General features: G+C 39.9%; 1 long non-coding RNA gene across 2 annotated transcripts in view, besides 1 other annotated feature; it reads left to right on the top strand.

Moving 5' to 3' along the window:
* The window catches only part of LINC01418 (long intergenic non-protein coding RNA 1418), a 107,448-nt gene that overhangs the window by 70,607 nt on the left and 15,965 nt on the right, over positions 1-20,876 (top strand). The window lies entirely within an intron of this gene.
* Positions 15,981-16,180: an enhancer, noted in NCBI's record as "active region_9959". NCBI's record gives its function as "activates an Ori minimal core promoter by ATAC-STARR-seq in GM12878 lymphoblastoid cells {active_cell/tissue: GM12878}" and the evidence as "EXISTENCE:reporter gene assay evidence [ECO:0000049][PMID:35858748]".

Genomic DNA, 20,876 nt, shown 5'->3' with positions numbered 1-20,876 from the left:
AGGAGTCACAGACCCATTGTTCCGCATCCTTTTCCCTCCAAAGGCTTTATGTGAGCTCCTTGGTGTCACAGCCAGAGGCAGGAATCCTTTGGTTGCAGTGGACTCAGAAACAGGAATTTTGAAAGCTGAACTGTTTAGTAAAGGCAGGGGAGACATGGGCATGCATTTCAGTTTTTGGAGATCAATGGTGTAATGAAACCCACATAAAAGAATCACAGTTTGTAGAAATACTAACAAAAGCTTTTGGGCACAAATTATACCCTATACAATAATATAGAAAAGACTTAAAAATTGAATACTGTCATTGTTACAAGAGCACAGTTCCTGCACACAAAATCAGATATAGTGGGATATTTCCAATTAATATGAGTACTAAAGAATATAGTTTGAGTGCATTGAGTTGAAAAAAAGTGCCAAATAGATAACATTTCATACCAATAATTGATATAAAAAATAAAACATTAAATATATAGTTTAAAGCATCAAGATGACATGTAATAATTTTCTGCCTTTTATGAAAATGGTTTTAATTTTGACTCTGTCTTTAAAAACTTCAACTTTAAACTATATAATACGTTACTATGCTTAGGATTGAAAACGAAAATATGCTCAGTGAGTCATATACTGTAGCAACAGGCAAATTGTAAGGAATTAACATGGACATTTAACCAAATACAGATTCCATCCCCCTGCCACTGTAGCATAAAATACTTGCTAAAGTCATTTTCTGTTACTGCAGTTCTTGTCAAAGAATGCTTCTGCCCATACATTTCAGCAATACATTATAGAATCCCTATATGATGCCTGCCATCCATTTAGGGGCTGGAATCTAGAAGTGTCTAAAACCTATCAGAGGTTTTACAAATATTTGTTTGTTTGTTGTATATTTAGCAACAGAGCCAATTCTGTATTCCAAGAAAAAGATCTTACACAGAACTCCAGTGGCGGGGCTGGGCGTGTGAGAGACAGCCAAGGAAGGGAGCGGGATGGAGTTACATGGGTCTGTGCATTTGCTTTGTTACTTGTTAACTCTGCGACTCTTAACAAGAGGGTCAGCTCTCGCGGACCCCCAGCTTCTTCCCTCATCTCTTTACTTGTTGTGTGATTTTTTTTTTTTTTTTTAAGATAGGGTCTTGCTCTGTTGTTCAGGCTGGAGTGCGGTGATGTGGTCATGGTTTACTGCAGCCTTGACCTCCTGGGCTGAAGCCATCCTTCTGCCTCAGCCTCCTGAGTAGTGGGACCACAGATGCATGCCACCATGCCTGGCTAATTTTTTTTTTTGAGATGGAGCCTCACTTTGTCACCCAGGCTGGAGTGCAGTGGTGTTATCTTGGCTCACTGCAGCCTCCAACTCCCAGGTTCCAGCAATTCTCCTGCCTCAGCCTCCCGGGAGGCTGAGATTACAGGCATCTGCCACCACCATGCCTGGCTAATTTTTAAATTTTTTTTTTATAGAGATGGGGGTCTCACCATGTTGCCCAGGCTGGTCTTGAACTCCTGAGCTTAAGCAATCCTCCTGCCTCAGCTTCCCAAAGTGCTGGGGTCACAGGTGTGAACCACCACACCTGGCCCTTATTATGAGATTTTTAAGAAAATCCCTTAAGAGCTTCGAAGCTTACTTTCTTCATCTGTAAAATAGGGATAAATATTAGTACTTCCTTGACGGGGTTGTTGTAAGGATGGAAGAGGTAATGCCCATAAAATTCATGGCACAGTGCCTGGCACATGTGCTAAGAATAAGACCATGGGCAACCTACTTTCTCCTCTTTCTTGGTGGTGTTCATTGCCTGCTTCTTCTAATTTCCATTTTTAACTCCATTGACTGAAAATAACTTGACCAATTCATCTTAAACTCCAAATTCTCTGATTTGACCTTCTCATAATTAGCCTACTCCTCTGAGACTTGTACTAGCGTACTGGACATCTTTGGTTTTTTGGCCTATGGGGCATTAATGACTCCATCTTTGGACGGAGCAGTGACGATGGTCACTGCTACAATTTTTCTAGTCTTAATCAAGTCCTTGGCCAGCTGGTGGGCATCTGGCCCACAGGACACTGATCAGGTGCTCTCTCCCGGGCATTTAAACCTTGAAGGAAGATGTGTGGTGCTGATTTATTGAGATGAGGCCCTTGCAACTCCATTCTTTTTAGTGCTTTGGTAGCTGGAGGCTGTTTCTGTAACTTGCACTCAAAGAGATATAACCTGAAGACCTGAAGCAGGCCTCCAGCTCTCCTTAGCCCTGAGGGAGACCATCCAAGGGCAGGACACATTTTCTCACAGCCCTGGCCTTTCTCACCCATCTGGCAAGGTAAACGCCCTCAGAGGCCAGTGGGGGGTGATTCTGAGCACAATCACCCTTATCCAGTGGCTGTTACTTCCCCTTCTAGAAAAGTCTCTCTCCACTTGCCTGTTCTTCTAGTTTATTTTTTTCCAGGCAAAACCCCTTGCCTGATTTCCCATCATTACTAACCTCTCCCTCAACAGCACCTCACTCTGTTGCGACTTGTATTCGAAGCACCATATATTATAAATACATTTTTTCTCAAATTAAACTTTTGGAAGGTGCATTAACACACAACCTCATAAGATATGTAATCAGCAAAATATTTTCACTACATTTTTTATTCTTATTAATTTCTAAAAAAAAAAAATTAGCAGCTTTCTTGTTCTGAGCCCCACACCATGAAACAAGGGCTTCAGTTTGGAATCATGGGGGCTTCTTCTGTTCTTAGAAATATCCAGGTATTTTTCCACTCTCCGTTCATCCCCTACCCCTTTGGTAAATATTAGTGATGCAGACCCACTTTTTATTTTTTTAATGAGGTGCCTGTGCTCATCTGTTATAAAGTGGTAAAGTGCCTCTCCATCCAAATTGACTTGTGATGTCATTCTGGCAATAGGAGACAGTCGGGGGAACATTAATTTGTTTGAGTGGATGTGTTACATAGCCACTTTAGAAAAAAGGTTTGTTATGGCCTCTGCTGTCATAGCAAACACACAGCCTTTGGTATGACAGTTTCAAAAAACATCTGTATATTTCCTCTGAAATATTAACCTTTTAATAGCTTGTTTAAAATCAGTCATTAAAATATCAATGTGAAAGTGAAAGGATTCCAGTCTTTATAGTATTTTCTCACAGAGACCATTGATCAATAATCATTAATCATCACCCAACTGCGAGGTAATGATTCATTTTCTTATTATTTTCCACAAAGGACTGGGGCCAAATACACAAGTTTACACAACAAACACCAGAAGAACCGGAGAAGAAGATACACAGAAAAGCTAACTTTAGTTTGTTGATTTAAAATAAAACAGCAGGTTGTAAAAATATTTTGCAAGTAGGTTTGTGGAAGACAGCATGGATTTATTATCCCCAAACCTTGTTTTGCCTCATTTTCCTCTACTCAAGAAGCTAGGAAGCTAAGGCATTTTCTCAGACTCCTTTGTAGCCACGGATGGTTACTAACTCCAAGGGAGAACTAACCCCCTGGAGTTAGTAATCGTCTTAGCAGAACACATCTCATTGACCAGAACTAACCCAATTCTGGCCAATGAGATGTGTTTTGCCAAGACTTTCTATTTCTTAGCTGAGGCTTTCTATTTTTCATGTTTCAAGCATGTTTATAACCTGTTTATAAGTGCTCATTGAGGCATTTTTATTGTGCTTTAAAATCTTTGTCAGATATTGCTCACATCTCTTTCATCTCGGTGTTGGCATCTGTTGATTTTTTTTCATTCATTTTGAGATATTCCTGGTTCTTGGCATGATAAGTGATTTTGATTGAATTCTGGACATTTTAATATTAAGTTATAAGACCCTGGATCTTATGTAAGCCTATTTTATCAGTCTTTTTACATATATATGCATATATATTATATATAATATATATGCATATATATTATATATAATATATATATTATATATTATTTTTACCAGGCGAGGTAGAAGTCAAGTTTCCCCACTCAGCTCTGTTGATACCTGAAGAGGGGGAGAGGTTTCCTGTCTGTAAATGGGCAGGATGGGAGTTCCAGCTCCCACAGGTCAGTGTGGGGTGGGGGCTTATTAGCAGCTGGTAGTCATGAAAGTTGTGGCTTCTACTCAGTCTTCTCTGATACTTCCACTTAATAAATAGTAAATGTATTTTCTCTTCCTTATGATTTTCTTAATAACATTTTCTTTTCTCTAGCTTACTTTACTGTAAGAATACAGTATATAATACAAACAACATATGAAATATGTGTTAATCGACTGTTTATGTTACTGGTTAAGGCTTCCATTTAAAGGTAGGCTATTAATAGTTAAGTTTCTGGGGAGTCAAAAGTTGTAAGTGGATTTTTGACTGAATGGGGAGCAGGGAGTTGGTGCCTCCAATCCCCACTTTGTTCAAGGGTCAACTACATATACGCTTTTTTATAACCTATAAAATCTTAAACAGATGAAAGGTATTTTTACTCATAATATTGAATCTGAAATAAAAATTCATTTTAAAGTGATATGAAGCTTGTTTATATTTATTTCCAGATCACCTACAATGACTCATTGTCTTTTGAATTGAAACAATATATGGAAGGCAAATGTATCAAAGGATGCATATTTTTGGAAAACTCAAAGGTGTCTGTATGGTATTGAGCTCATGGACAAACTAAATAATTTTTGTTGTAAGATAAGACGAGTGGAGAGAAAAGAAAGAAAATAAGACCCCCTGGGACAATTACTGCTTACTGATTCATCAACTCACATAAGAAATAGCCTTGTATTTGATATAGTTAAACAAGGCAGTAAACAATGGCAAGCATATAGGGGTTTGTCTGCCTCCCATTGATAAAGTAGGCTCCAATAGTATATTATCCTAATACATGGATATGTCAGTTAATGATTTACTGCTTTTCCTCATCAGGGCTTATTTCTCAGTTCCCATGAGGATATCTCCATTAGGTGGATAGCAGATCTGAGAACCAGGCCATCTCTAGGGATGTGTGATCATCATCAGAAAGTGGTGGTGATCATCACCTAGGGTGGTGTAGATGCTGCCATGTAGAGGAAGACAGTCTGGGCAAGCACTGCTTGCGGGATGGTCCTTATTCTGTCACTTACTAGGCAAATCCTGTAACTGGGCAAATCCCTTGCATTCTCTTGGTTTCAGTTTACTTACTTACAAAAATATTGAGATGGATCATTTGTAAACTCTATTCCACTGTGATAATAACCTTACATCAATGGTCATATTGGAAACCCCATTTCCTACACAACCTTCAAATTCATTATTGGGTACCCATGTTCTTCTACCTGCTGAGTACTGAAGACCCCATCAGGTTGCTGGATGCCTTAGCTTGGAACTCTTTTTACTTTAGGATGAAAACATTTGGACCTTAAAATGTAGAAATGATAATTCTGTGCTATTGAGATTATGTCTGGAAATGTAATGTAGAGAATTAAGAAAATATTCAGACAGCTTGGTTTTACTTTTCTTTCAATCTTATGGATAAGTTTTATTAGCTGCATAGTTACCACTATTTTCTGTTCTTCTTGCTATGTAGAAAGGAATGTGAACCTAATGTCCAAACACAAATCTTTCATAAAAGAAAGAAGTCAAATTTGGGCTATTTCTTCCCTTTTCTGATGGCTGATAGGAGATGCTAGCATTGTTGTAAAATGTAAGGAGAATCTTCTTGGAAAATATTTTTGTGATATGTGTTGAATTTTAAAGATATTCATAACTTTTGATCCTGTAAGTCCTCATCTGTTAATCTATTTTAAGGGTATAATAATTAAAGCTGATTAATTTTGCACACAAACATGCATTTTATAGCATTGTTTACATGGATATTAGTGAAATCTTAGATATTTAGCAATGATGAAATGGCTAAAAGTACAACATGATGATGCAATGAAAACAATGTTAACAAGAGGGTGTAAAATCACAGGTATACTTTTAATGGAACAAGAGATGACAAGCAAAGAATAAAAATTGAATGCATCTGTTTATAAAGATGTAAAAAGTATAATATACTACCAAGTGGTGTGAATTCAGGTGATATGCTACGTGCTGTGTAAGTATCTTATTAAATATTCACAGCAACCCTGAGGCGAGTTACATGATTCCCATTTTATAGATGAGGAAACTGAAGCTTAGAGCTTAGGCCATTTGTTCACGATCAGAGAACTGGGAAGTGACAGAGCTGGGATTTGAATCCCACCCTCTCTGATTCTAAAGCGTTGATTAAGTTGATGGGGCAGGGAGGGTTGGAGGCATCATGAGGATTCTGTGTGTCCACTCAGTGAAGTTGCTCCACTGCCCTTGGGTACCCCTTTAGTGATTGAAGGCTGGAGTTATGTAATCTCTCCAGGGCCCCACAGCTAAAAGGGCATGGAACAGGACAGAGCCCTGGCAGCCCAGCTGGGAGAAGTGTGCTGAGCCCCGGATGGCTTCCCCTACGATGGCTGTACAGGTAAGAGGGGAAATATCTGAGTACAGCGGGGATGCAGGGTCTTCCTAGTGCAGCCACATAGCCTTGGAAGAACCAGGTTGAAGAAGACAGGGAAGCAGGGCCTTGGGAATGGACAGGAACCTACCTGTGGGACTAGCACATGGGAAAGGTGATGCACGTAGAAGGGCAAATACAAATTAAATATTGGGCTTTTTTCTCCCTGTGGAAATTAAGAGTCCCCTCCATACCACTCTCTTTCTCTTTCAGAATTTTATTCTCCCTCCTTTTCAAATATATGCAAGTTTTTTTAATGGGTAAATAAACCTATGACCAATCTCAACTCAGGAATGTTTCCTGGGAGCTGTCTCTTTGAAATGTAATTCTCAAGGGACATATGGCCCACACTTTCAGTTTCCTGGTAGGACAAGGGCCTAACTTGTCACCTGACTCCAAATTGCAAAACCTAACTAATGTGATGGGCTGAAGCCACTCAGCTGTACAAGGGAGTAAGATTCTGTCTTTGTAGTGGACTGCCTGTGATGCACATCGCATTCTGGTTTAACGCTTATTCAGTCATAAAATTGTTTACTTTGTCTTCCAAAAAAATAAACCTTTGGTTACACAGTTTCCTATGAATTATTTTAAAACATTATGAAAATTAATAACTGAGAAATCTAAGTGGGTGTGAGTGAACTCCTCTATCTTTACTGAAATGCCATCGAATTTGCAAGGCTGGCAGAAAGACTCAGGGATTGTTAGGCACTCCTGGCACAATCCTGGAGTCCCAAATCCTCCCAATGGGGAGAATGTTTCCTCTGGCGTTTCTCCAAAGAGCAACAGCATTCTTTTCCCAAGACGAGATCTGGTGACTGACTCCATGACCGCAAGCAGGAACAAACTGCCATTCTTTGGAAGGCTCTTGGCCTTCAAGGATCACTTGGGAAAGGAGCGGTTCCAGCTTTAACACTTTAACCAGTCCTCCTTCGTTCCTTTCTTCTTTTTTTAACATCTGCGTGTGGATGCAATAAAAGTGTGCTAGGTCGCTGGGCACTTGGAGGAGAGGAAGAGCATGAGTGATATAATTGGGCTGTTATTGCCTGCCTCTCCAGCACACATTAGCTGGATAAAACATCTAGTCAATAAAACACAACAAAACAATAAAACTAAGCCCTTTGGTGCTCTCTTATTGGGTGTTATGCAACCCAGAAACCTGTGGCCATAAAAAGGAGAATGAGGGAAACTTTACACTTGCAAGAACAAGACGCTTAGGCACTAGGTTGAAAATAGCTGTAGCTGAGCTCAAGTTGTATTCATTGGGCACCTGGAAGCAGTTAGTTTTGAAAGCTGTGCAGGCTTCAGCTGCTTCAACGTTCATGGGCCCTCCATGAGATCTTGTTAGGAACATGTATAGAAATGTGCTTTTCATTAGAGAAGTCATTGATCCTATCCATGAAGATACATTTCTTTCAAATGATAAATTTATTAACCATGAGCAGAAAGATTATTTGTGGCCCTTCTTTTGGGGGGAAAAACCCCAGAGTTTGAAACTGCCATAGAATGCCTATGTCTGTAGGCTGTGATTCAAGAAAGTGCTCTCTTTTGACCAGTGGAAAATTGCAAACCAAAGCTCAGTGCTTTCCTAGTCTGGTTAAGGCCAAAAGAAAATGGGAAGTTTTTATTGTTGATGACTTGTTAGGACTTGTTGTAAAGTAGGCCAGTGCAATTTGTCTATTTTAGGTTTTAGAAACATTTGTTCTTCCCACAAGAGGTATTTTAAATACTGTCAGGATTCAGATTGCAACCCTAAACAATTCATTAAAATATTTTTTTGGCCTAATTTTAAAACAAAGGTTGTTGTTGATGATGATAGCAGGGATCCCACACGGAGCCTCAGCTGGGCCCATCCCTGGGGTTCAGACCTGCCTCGGTGTGCCTGGGGAACTGTGGGGTGGACCTGCCAGGAGATGATGTGTTTGAGGGAGTGAGGAGTCCCCCACCCCTAGGATATAATTCACCCTAATGGAAGAGAATCAGATTTAAAGAAAGAGAACAACCTTGGCCAAGTAACAAAAACTGAGTCATCAGTGAGGAAGAGCCATTCTGAGTCAAGCTTGCTGTATTTTTACTTGGATTTGTCTGCCAGCCCAGTCTCAACTGGATTCATGTCTGAGTGCTATGGTGGAAAGTAGAGAGCCATCTATATTGAAAGTGATGGCTCAGTAAACAGTCTGCAAGACATTGGGGCCTTGAGCAGATATGAGCATGCAGAGGATATTGAGGGAGAGAGGGCCCTTCTTCATACGTTCTGGATGTGTTCCAGGGATAGTCAGTAGAGAGGGCTGTCATAGGAGAGGAAGAATAAAATTGCAGATGACACGTGGTAACATATTGGATTTTTTGGTATGTACTTGTGAGAACACTCCTGGTTTCTTCCAAAATTAATTGGGCATATCTGGGTGTGCAAATGTATTTATAATGTTTGTGGGGGTAGGGGGTAGACTTTTCTATGGGTTACCATCCTACATTAGTGAGGGAGGATGGGTGGGAGGAGGAAAGAACCATGGACTACATTTCTTTCCAGCAATCTCATTATGGTTATATACCCAGAGGAATATAAATCATTCTGCCATAAAGACACATGCACATGAATGTTCACTGCAGCACTATTCACAATAGCAAAGACATGGAATCAACCTAAATGCCCATCAATGACAGATTTGGTAAAGAAAATGTGGTACATAGACACCATTGAATAGTATGCAGCCATAAAAAAGAAAGAGATTATGTCTTTAGAGGAACATGGATGGAACTGGAGGCCATTATCCTTAGCCAACTAATGCAGGAGCAGAAAACCAAATACTGCATGTTCTCACTTTTAAGTGGGAGCTAAATGATAAGAACCTTATGAAGACAAAGAAGGAAACAACAGAAACTGGGCTCTACTTGAGGGAGGGAGTGGGAGGAGGGTGAAGAGCAGAAAAGATAACCGTTGGTTACTGGGCTTAATACTTCGGTGATGAAATACTTTGTGCAGCAAACTCCTGTGACCTGTGTCTACCTATGTAACTTTCATATGTACCAGAATATTTCATGAAGGTGTCAAAATAATTTGAGCTTGGGGAAATAGACTATGGTAGTTACTGAATTTGCTCCGATGGATTTATCCCATTGCTGAACTTTACACTTTAAAGTACTGTCCACACACAGGCATCTGATGTACCCTCAATCCCCAAATGATTTTAGAGGTATAACTTCTCCCTATTCCTGTGCTGCAGCACATGTGAAAAATGTCTCTGCTACATAAGAAGGAGCTAAGTATTCGTGCTATTTCATCATGTAGAGAGACGGCTGGTGCCACATACTGAATTCCACTTCACACGCACACAAGTCATGAATCACACTTCCTATCCGTTACCTGATCCCCCGGTTTTCACTTTGTAAGACTATCTGAAGAAAATTCTTCTGATTTTTCCCTGGTCCACTCTAAATAAAAGGAAACACAGTTGTCCTTGTACACGTCAGTGAAGGGTTCCTAGAGACCATTTTACCTTCATGCTAGGAGAAATGATTACCAAATCAATAAACTGCTCACTATAAATGGTTCTGCAGCACAGGCAAGCAATGGTAGTGTAACTTGTTGGCCAAACCTTTTATTCTTAGATTCTAAACTCCCGAATCCTCAATTTACATTACATGTCTTGCAAACCTCCCCTTCACACAGTCTTAACTGGATCATGTGTCATGTGGAAATTTTTTTCTTTTATCTGTAAACATTTTCCTCCCATTCATCTATTCAATCCATCCATCCATCCACCCATGCATCCATCCATCCACCCATGCATTCATCCATCCATCCATCCACCCATCCACCCATCCACTCTATCCATCCATCCATCCATCCATCCATCCGTTTTCTACCTTCCTTCTATAACTGATGGCCCACCTTGAAATAGTAATTTAAGATTACATTCCCATTCTCTATGTTTTTCTTCTACCCAACCGAGAATCCAATTTGTGAAATCCACTGATGATGTTGCCAAGTGAGCTTTATGAAGCAAAATGATCTACTTGCTCACATCTTCCCTCTGGACTTACACAGTGGGTTATGCACAGTGCACAGGTCCCTCTTCCCTTTCTCTGCTTCACACAGAAGGCATCATGGAACAAGCTCTGAGCGGTGAACAGATCACACTTTGCCATCCCCATTGTATTTTACAGAAATAAATATTGAAAAATATAACTCCAAAATAAGTTTGAGGCCCCTTTATGTCTAATAGGGGAGTAGTGACTATGGAGGCTCAGAATACATTATTGGAGACCTCTGGGGCAGAAAGTTTTTCATTTATTTGACATCTACCAGGTGCTAAGCATTGCACTGAATGTCTTACAGTGCTGAGCAAGATGGGTATGATCCCCTCTAAGCACTTGACTCATATTTCACGTAGTCCTCGTAAGCCAATGTGCCACTGCTTTTCTGTTTTGCCAGAGAGGAACTCAGTTCTTAGAGAGGATAAGCAATTTGTCCAAAAGTATATAGGAAATAGTTTAGTGGGGTTTCAAACCTGGTCTGATTCCAAAACCTGTGCTTCCTGATGACAGAATAAAGTAGCCAAATTCTCTTAGAACTATGATGCTTTAAATGGAAATAGGCCCTTTACCACTTATGGAAAACCCCCATTGGTATGAGAATATGTTTGTAGGAAAGGTGTTCCCAGGGGTAGACTGCTAACCTAGTTAGGTCTGTCTTATCTAGTCATGGCTGACCCCTGAACACATGATCTGTGGAATGGGTCAGTCCTATCGGTACTGACGTTTGGTGTCACTAGGCTTGAGGCAATGAGAGCCCATTTTGGCAGGATAATGGAAGCTTCATCCAGTGAGGGTGACCTGTGCTGAGGAATTCTCCTTAGGAGCATTCAGCCTCTTTATGCATGAGTTGAGCACTTGGTACAACCTCCATTTGGCACCATCTCATTTTGACCTTCCAGGCTAGGTCAGCTTTCCTGTTATGTACTCCTTAGCAAACTGTACATCTTCCTACCACTTAGCACACGTAGATTTATTTGATTGCATATTATTATTTGTATAATAACTGCCTTTCTGTTAAACTTCTCAAAGCAAAGATCAGATTTTTCATATTAATTGCTGATGACTGTGCTAGGCACGGATACCAGTGAGTAAAAGCTGACATAATCCTCAAATCTAATGATGTATAGTGTCGTGGAAAACACAGATATTAACCCAACAATCACAATAAGAATGTAAAATTTTAACAGTGAGAAGGGCTGTGAAAGGGGCCTCTGCTTCTGGCAGTATGGTGAACTAGATATCCTGAAAGCCCCTATTGTTAAAATACAACTAAAGATAGCACACGTACATAACTTTAACGATTGCTAAGCCAGGAATATAACAAAGGAAATTGCCAAGGGCAAAACAAATTTGGAAAGCTGAGTTGTTTGAAAAAATTTTCCATTTAATTAATTGATCAGATTTTGTTGCTGTTAATTCCTTTGATTTTTCTCTACCTGCTTGAAAGATGTAGTTTAAAAAATTACTGTGGTAGTTATGATTAGTTTTTGCTTCCTATGTTTTCAGCCTTTGTTATTGGAGCATTTGAATTTACACATGTAAAATCTTTCTGGTGGACTGAATCTTCTATCATTATTTTCCCTTCTTTAACTCCAGTCATATTTCCTACCTTAAAGTCTATTTTGTCTGATATTAATATAATTATGCCAGGCTCTTGGGGTTAGTATTTTCATGGTAAATCTTTTTCCATCTTTTCCTTTCAATCTTTTTGTATCTTTGTTTTTAAGATGCATTTCTTGTAAGCAGTACATAATTGGATTTTAAAACTCTAGTCTGAAAAGCTGTGTCTTTTTATTGGAATATTTAGTCCATTTACTAGACTTTTTGTCGTTACTCTTGAGAATACAGCATGAAATCCTGACTTATTAAACTATAATAGAAATTAGTGCTTTCACCACTTTTATGACAATAGAAGGTCCTTAGAACGCTATCAGTCTTATTACTGCTTCATTCAAGGTAACATGTTTGAATTCAAGGGAGGATGTTTTCAAGACTGGCTCTTTGTCTCTGGTTTCCAGCAGTGTCACTCTCATGTGCCTAGGCTGCTTTTCTGTTTTGCTTTGTTTTAAAATTTATCACTATAACTTCAGTGGCTACTCTTACATTTTTAATCTATGTACTTAAATATAAATTATTCGAACAATATTCTGTTTCTGAACATAACAGATATCTTAACATACTTTGCTCATTAAATACCCTCCTCCACTGTCTTGTTATTGTTGCCTGGGGTTCTAGGTTAACCTCTTTATTTTGATACAAAAAGTATTATTGTCATTTTTTACATTGAGTGGTTTGTTCAATTTACCAATTAAAATATTAATTTCTATGTATTATACAGTATTAGGTTCAGAATTTTCTTTAATAATTGTTTAAGTAAATTCTGTAAGTGATACAACATTTTAATTTTTATATTTAAAATGTTTTCCTATTTTGTCCTCATTTTTGGGTAGTAGTTCAGCAGAGTTTAAATTTCTTAATAGGTAGTTTCCCACCTACCATCAGCAATGACATTTCCTCTTTATCACTGATGTCCTTTTAGTTTCACCATAAACAATCATAATGTGCATTCACCTGCTTGGCAGTCAGAATGCACTTTTGTTCTGAGGGATTATGGCTTTCTTCAATTTTGGAAAATTCTCAGCTCTTATGTCTTTAATTATTGATTCTCTGCTATTCTTTTCATTCTCTTCTTCTGAGATTCTTCATCCTCTATGCCTCCTAAATGCTGTTGAATTTTTAGAAATCTCTTTTTCTGTGCCTGTTCTGGAGGGATTCTTTAACATCTTTTTAAACCATGAACTTAATCTTTGATCATATCCTATTTAAAAAATAATTTAAATTATTCACTTGTTTAATGTCCAGAGTTATTTAGTTATTTTTTCCTGTTAACCAGGTATTAGCAAAGACTGTTGTATAACAAATCCTAACTCGCTTATCTTAAACGTGATTATTTAAATATTTTTATCAGAATCTTCTAAAATATGCTTCATCTGAAGTGAATTTATATCTTGATGTATTTTATTGGCTTTCTCTAAATATTAAATTTCTTCATGTGTTGTGTAATTGTGTTTCTTTTTCATGAGTAAACTCTAATTCTCATTTACTTAGTTTTTTTATTAATTTAAAAATTTTTGAAATAATTGTAGGCTTAAAGTAGAGAAGCAAGCGCAGTACAAAGATTTTTTTCCTGAATCTTTTGGGAGTAAGTTACAGACATGATCATCCTTGAATATTGCAGTGTGTATTTCCTGCAAACAAGGACGTTTTCCTACATAACCACAAAGAACTACAAATATCAAGAAGTTAACACTGAATCATTATGACAATCTTATCATCAAACCCCATATGGTTTCATCAATTGTCCCAGTTACGCTCCTTATAACAAAATATTCCATTCTATAGTCGTGCCTTGCATTTAGCTTCTTGACAACTTTGAATTTATTGGAAATGTCCCCCTCAGACTCATGTCGTGCATTTTTGGCAGGAATATGACAAAAGTGACACTGTGTTTATTTCATCATATCTTATCAGGTGGCACCCAATTCATATTTGTTCTATTACCGATTATATTTACTATAATTAGTAAATTAAGGTGGTTTCTCCTGGAAAAGTTATCCTTTCAACATTTATAATTAAAAAGTATTTTGAAGGGTGGTACTTTCAAAGGATGTAAATATCACATTCTTCATCAAATGTTCAATTTATTCAATGATCTATTTTTATCAGTATGTATGGACTTGTGGGTTTTAATTTTATTCAATAGATTGTAATTAGTCATGCCACTATTTATTTTGATGCTCAAATTGTGCCAGATTTGGGCATACATACAAATTGTATGTATATACATATATGAGTTTATATACATACACGAGTTTACAACAATACTTTCGATTCCAATTCAACATTACAGGGTTAATTCCATATTTCTCTCTTTTCACATTTATAATTTCCTTCCTTCTTTGACAGTGAGAAAGCTGGTTCTCATTATCCTCAATACATTTGCTTACTTGATTAATCTCTTTTTATGTAACTAATCTCCTATCACCATCACCACTCCATTCCCTACACAGGTGTTATTTTTGCTGCTGTTCCTTGTGTGCAAGTCTCTTCATCCTATCCATGTTGCAACACATCGTGTTTGGCTGACCCCTCTGCTTGTGGGTGCCCGCCCTTCCTTCCTCAGGATCCAAAATTTTGCACCAGATTTTGCTTCTCTGTAGACAACCTCTTAGCTCTTTAACTTTGTTTTGAAAGCTCATTTTGAGTGGGTGGTTTAACTTTAGTTTGGTTTCGTTTTTTTTCACGCTTTCCTATTTGTCTAATAATCCAGCTGTGTTTCTACAGGCCCTATATGATTCCCACCTCCACCCCTAGGCCCATGGTGTAGAATCAGATTTTGTAATGGCTTCAAGGCCAGTTGTGTTACTGAGGATATCACATATCCAACTGCAGAGCCACTGGAGTATTTATCTCTATTCATAGCACCAAACCTAGTTTCCATGAAATAGCAGCCTTAGGAGGATGTCACCAGCAATATTTTTTCAGCCTTCTTTAAAGCATGGTGGGGTGCCCCAGTCCAGTCCCTGACTTCATGTAGTGTGCCTGGCTCTTACCCCAGTTCTTACGGAAACATTCACCCTCGTTACTCTCACATAAGCTGAACTCCTGGACGCTGCTACCTTCTTTTGGATTTAAAGCTGTCCTCCACTTCATTTCTCTTCATTAATTAGACTTCTGTTCCACTTCTGGCCCATGGAGATTTTTGTTTCATTTTTAGTAGGGCAGTCATTGACTTTCCTATTTCAATACTTCATCACCATTAAGTATTTAGTGCTGAGCAAGTGTCTTGAAGTATTTCTCTAGCACCAATCACTATGTTATCTTGATCCCAAGTCCTTATGTTGGCTTCTAATCATACTCGACCTTTAATTGATTTTAAATAATAATGTATCCCTACTCCACATTTAAAAAATAATCATTTCTGGGAAATGGGCCAACTATTCAGAGGGCGACAGCTGAACGGTATGCATCATAGGATGACCATGGACGTTCAGGATGTGAGAATGAGGTTAGCTTTTAAAAGCTACCTGACTGCAGCAAGATTGTTAGGCAAGGCTAAATATGCAAATGGAGGTAATGGGGTCTCAGCTGTGGGAAGAAAAATTACAAGTATCAACATCTGGACTATGTCTCCTGCTACCTTTGAGGAGGGGTTGGCGAATGTGTGGCTTGTCTGACAAAAAGGACCATCGAATTAGACTTAGCCTTGTTCTTTCCTTCTGCATCCTTCCTTTTGTTCCTCATAGCGTTTAGGTTTATTATGTTTTAAAACCAGAGGGCTAGTGGATTGTTGTTCAGAAGTACTTATTCCTTCCACCCTCCTGCCACCTCCGTGGGTGGAGTACACTTTTACTCTTTGACGTTGGGCTTGGCTGTCATTTTCTTTGACCAGTGGAATGTTAGTGGCTTGCTCTATCAAAAGTTTAAAATGCAGGGTGGCAACTGGCCTTGCTTTTTGGCACTTCTGCTTTCACTATAAGAAGAACATGACTGGGCTAGCCCACTGGTCCCAGGAGGAGCATAGAAGGCGTGTGGAGCAGTGTGACACCAGCCCCACAGCCCAGCCATGCTGAGCCTACGTCCATCAAAGCCCAGATGAACTTCAGCTGCATGAGGGAGCTTACCAAGACTGACAGAGTCCCCAGCTGAGACCAGCCTACATAAGGGGGCCCTCCACCAATCCACAGATGAGTGAGCTAAATACATACTGACCTTCCTATGCCACTGAGATTGTTTTGTTATTTTTAGCACAAAAATAACCAAAATACCTGAGGCAAACTATCCCCCTTCCATCACTTGCAACTCATCTTACTAGGACCTGGTGCTCAATTTTGAAACCTCAGTCTCTTCTCCCCTGTGTCTCTGGAATATCTTAGTTCTCATTACTATGATTTTGTCTCAACATCTTCTGTTTCCTGTTAAGGACAACTACTTTGTATCCTCATGTCTGATTAGAACCAGCTTCTTGCTTTGCCTTTTTAATTTTTCTTTCCATGGGGTATGGCTATCTCCAACCCCAAGTCCATTGGCAGAGGCCTAATGCCTGTTAATACTTGGATTTTGCACTTGCCTGAATATCTATTGGTATGCCTTTCTGTTAGGTTCTGCCTATGTCTCCTCATAAAATTTTTCTTCCTCTATCTCCAAACATCAATCCCTTTTTAAACCGTTTCTTGGACTTTTGTTTTAGTAGCTTGTTGCTTGTAATACTTCTAGTTCTTGTTATTTTTCCCCCTAAGTATCACCGTAATATTTGGAATATATAGAAAACCATCAGAAACCACTCCTCTGTGTACTCCTGTTAATATTGTGGTGCATTTTGCCCCAGCACCAGGGTGAGTCTAGACCTTGGCCTTGCCTCTGCCTTTCTCCTCTATTCTGTTGCAAGTACTTGGCCATCATCCATCCCTTTGTGCATTGTACCTTTAGAATGACATAATGTGGATTTATGATAGGTAGATTGGGATTGGGTGGGTGGATGGGGGTTAAAAAGAGAAGCATTCAAGGAGATGGAAGCCATCAACTTGTCACAGAGATGAGAGACAGAAGAAAGAAAGAGGCAGAGCTACCTGGCTGCTCCAACAGGAATTTATGGGGTCCTTTACTTTGGAGGAGTTTCTGTGACTGGGTTTTCACTCACTGGTCTACCAACCCAGAAGCTAGGACTTGGGCTCTGGGACTAACCCACACCTTGTTGCTCTTTGGGTCTCCTTTGTCGTGTTTGTGCTGTCTGTTCCCTTCTTTGTTCATATGGTATTTCTCTGTTGGGGCACACTGCCAGCCTTTTTGGACATCTCCCACTCTCCAGACCTACCACCTTGGCACTATGTCACCGACTGGACTTGGGTTTTCCTGAGTCTTGTAACTACACCTTACACCCTGCCTCTTGGGGTGAATTGCTTCTGTTTAAGGCTAGCAGTAAGCATTAAGAGTCAATTCTGGCTGGGCGCTGTGGCTCGCGCCTGTAATCCCAGCACTTTGGGAGGCTGAGGCAGGCGGATCATGAGGTCAGGAGATAGAGACCATCCTGGCTAACACGGTGAAACCCCATCTCTACTCAAAATACAAAAAATTAGCCGGGTGTGGTGGCGGACGCCTGTAGTCCCAGCTACTCGGGAGGCTGAGGCAGGATAATGGCGTGAACCCGGGAGGCGGAGCTTGCAGTGAGTCGAGATCGCGCCACTGCACTCCAGCCTGGGTGACAGAGCGAGACTGTCTCAAAAAAAAAAAAAAAAAAAAAAAAGAGTCAATTCTTAGAACTCTGAATGTCAGGGGTCACCTTCTTTCCAAGGTCTGTGGGCCTCTCCTGTAGCTCTCTGCATGCTGTCTATAAAATCCAGGGATCTGATTTATGCATTCACTTTCTCTCAAGGTTGTCTACCATTCACTGGGTGGGCATCTGACTTGGCAAACCCTGAGAGTAAGGATGTGGCTATTTGCAGAGAGTGATACATGCTGTTCTCTCAATGGAAAATATAATTTGGTGATGGATTGCCCAGTGTTTCTTGCTTATTTTAAACTGAAATGTTCTATTGAGCCTACCCTAAATGGAGCATTCTTATAAATAAACAATCCTTCTTGGATTTTATGACTGTGGGCTCACTGCCAAGTGCAAGCATTCCTAGTCTGTGGCATGAAAACCCAGTGAAATAGAATAGAAAAGGTGAGAGAGAGAGAGAGAGAAGAGGAGAGGGGAGAGAGAGAGGGGGAGAGAGAGAGAGAGAGAGAGAGAGAGAAGAGGAGAGGGGAGAGAGGGGGAGAGAGAGAGAGAGAGAGAGAGAGAGAGAGAGAGAGAGGATAGAGAGAGGATAGAGCTATTTCCTTGAGAGCAATCAGGACCGTGGGGTTAATTTTGCAAAGTACTGTGCCTCCAAAGACTCAGGGGAGTCCTCTGTTAAGCGGGAGCTGGCTTGCCAATAGATACAGGAGCTCCTGAAGTTTGTGAGAGAGCAAGATCTATGCCCCCGCACAGCTGGTGTTAGATGCTGTCATTCCCCAATCTCCCTGCCACGTTTGATGAAAAACGCCTTTCTATTTTGAATATCAATGTGTGAAGTCAACTGTTCCCTAATCTATACCCACTGCTGGGACAGTTGCAAGGTTTTGGATTAAATACTCCAGCACAAATCTCTTTAAACCTTTCCTAAATAAGAAATTATGCGAGTCTCTCCAGTGAAAGATTTTCGCTCCCAGGGAATTAAAACATTCGGCTCTGTTTGCTCTGCGGAGAACAAAGTGGCTCAGAAGTCTGCTCTCTAATTGGCTGCTGTCGTTTGGACCTGCTGCGATGCTGCACTGCATGGCCTCACACCCTCTCTGGAGGGCCCACTGACTGGCTGGCATCTAAGTCCGGCTCAGGGGTTAGTTTTTTTCTGCTTCAATTATTCATCTGGCGGTGGTGTGGGGGGAGGCGGATTGCACAAAAATTATCACAAAATAAAACCTTCCCGTAAAGAAAAACTAAATAGAATTATTGGACCCTTTGCTGCATTGCTTTATGACAATTGTCACTTGTTGGCTGGAGAGAATTAGGTGTTTTTACCCCCCCGCGGCGTCTCTCTTTGTCGCCCAGGCTGAAGGGCAGTGGTGTGATCTCAGCTCACTGCAGCCTCTGCCTCCCAAGTTCAAGAGATTTTCCTGCCTCAGCCTCCTGAGTAGCTGGGTCTACAGGCACCCACCACCACACCCGGCTAATTTTGTATTTTTAGTAGAGATGGGGTTTCACCACGTTGCCCAGGCTGGTCTCAAACTCCTAACCTCAAGTGATCCGCCCGCCTCAGCCTCCCAAAGTGCTGGCATTACAGGCATGAGCCACTGCACCCGGCCAGGTGTGTTTTTATTTGTTGGATAGGATGCAAATATTTTCCCCAGATTTGAGATTTGTTATTTATTTTCTCTCACAGACCTGGAAAGATGAAACAATCTATATCGTTGCTGTTGTAGTTATTATTTGGGTGAGGTATTAGAAATCAAATTTGCGCAGGCCTTATGCTAAAGCATGAAATAACTCCTCAATGCTATCAGGACATTTAATGAAACATAATCACATGTGTATTGCTTTGATATAGGTAAAATGGTATGTAGGTAAAGGTAAATGCATAATTATGTAGAAATTCTCTGTTTCACAGCGGTCCTTAGTTTATAGCTTTCAAAGAGACTTGCCTTCATACAACCTCTTGTGTAAGTTGTAACTTCTCTCTTCATTCTTCAGACCATGGAGATGATAGGTAATAAGCAATTGAAACGGTCAGATTGTCATTTTATTTTATTTATTTATTTTTTTTCATGTTTCCTTAGAATTTTTATTTCTTTTTTTTTTATTATACTTTAAGTTTTAGGGTACATGTGCACATTGCGCAGGTTAGTTACATATGTATACATGTGCCATGCTGGTGCGCTGCACCCACTAACTTGTCATCTAGCGTTAGGTACATCTCCCAATGCTATCCCTCCCCCCACCCCCCACCCCACCACAGTCCCCAGAGTGTGATATTCCCCTTCCTGTGTCCATGTGATCTCATTGTTCAATTCCCACCTACGAGTGAGAATATGCGGTGTTTGGTTTTTTGTTCTTGCGATAGTTTACTGAGAATGATGATTTCCAATTTCATCCATGTCCCTACAAAGGACATGAACTCATCATTTTTCATGGCTGCATAGTATTCCATGGTGTATATGTGCCACATTTTCTTAATCCAGTCTATCATTGTTGGACATTGGGGTTGGTTCCAAGTCTTTGCTGTTGTGAATAATGCCGCAATAAACATACGTGTGCATGTGTCTTTATAGCAGCATGATTTATAGTCCTTTGGGTATATACCCAGTAATGGGATGGCTGGGTCAAATGGTATTTGTAGTTCTAGATCCCTGAGGAATCACCACACTGACTTCCACAATGGTTGAACTAGTTTACAGTCCCACCAACAGTGTAGAAGTGTTCCTATTTCTCCACATCCTCTCCAGCACCTGTTGTTTCCTGACTTTTTAATGATTGCCATTCTAACTGGTGTGAGATGGTATCTCATTGTGGTTTTGATTTGCATTTCTCTGATGGCCTGTGATGAGAGCATTTTTTCATGTGTTTTTTGGCTGCATAAATGTCTTCTTTTGAGAAGTGTCTGTTCATGTCCTTCGCCCACTTTTTGATGGGGTTGTTTGTTTTTTTTCTTGTAAATTTGTTTGAGTTCATTGTAGATTCTGGATATTAACCCTTTGTCAGATGAGTAGGTTGTGAAAATTTTCTCCCATTTTGTAGGTTGCCTGTTCACTCTGATGGTAGTTTCTTTTGCTGTGC

This window comes from Homo sapiens, chromosome 15 (assembly GCF_000001405.40).
Source record: "Homo sapiens chromosome 15, GRCh38.p14 Primary Assembly".
In the NCBI taxonomy this organism is placed as follows: domain Eukaryota; kingdom Metazoa; phylum Chordata; class Mammalia; order Primates; family Hominidae; genus Homo; species Homo sapiens.
The sequence above is the reverse complement of the archived record's forward strand: the minus strand, read 5'-3'. Positions and strand labels throughout refer to the sequence as shown.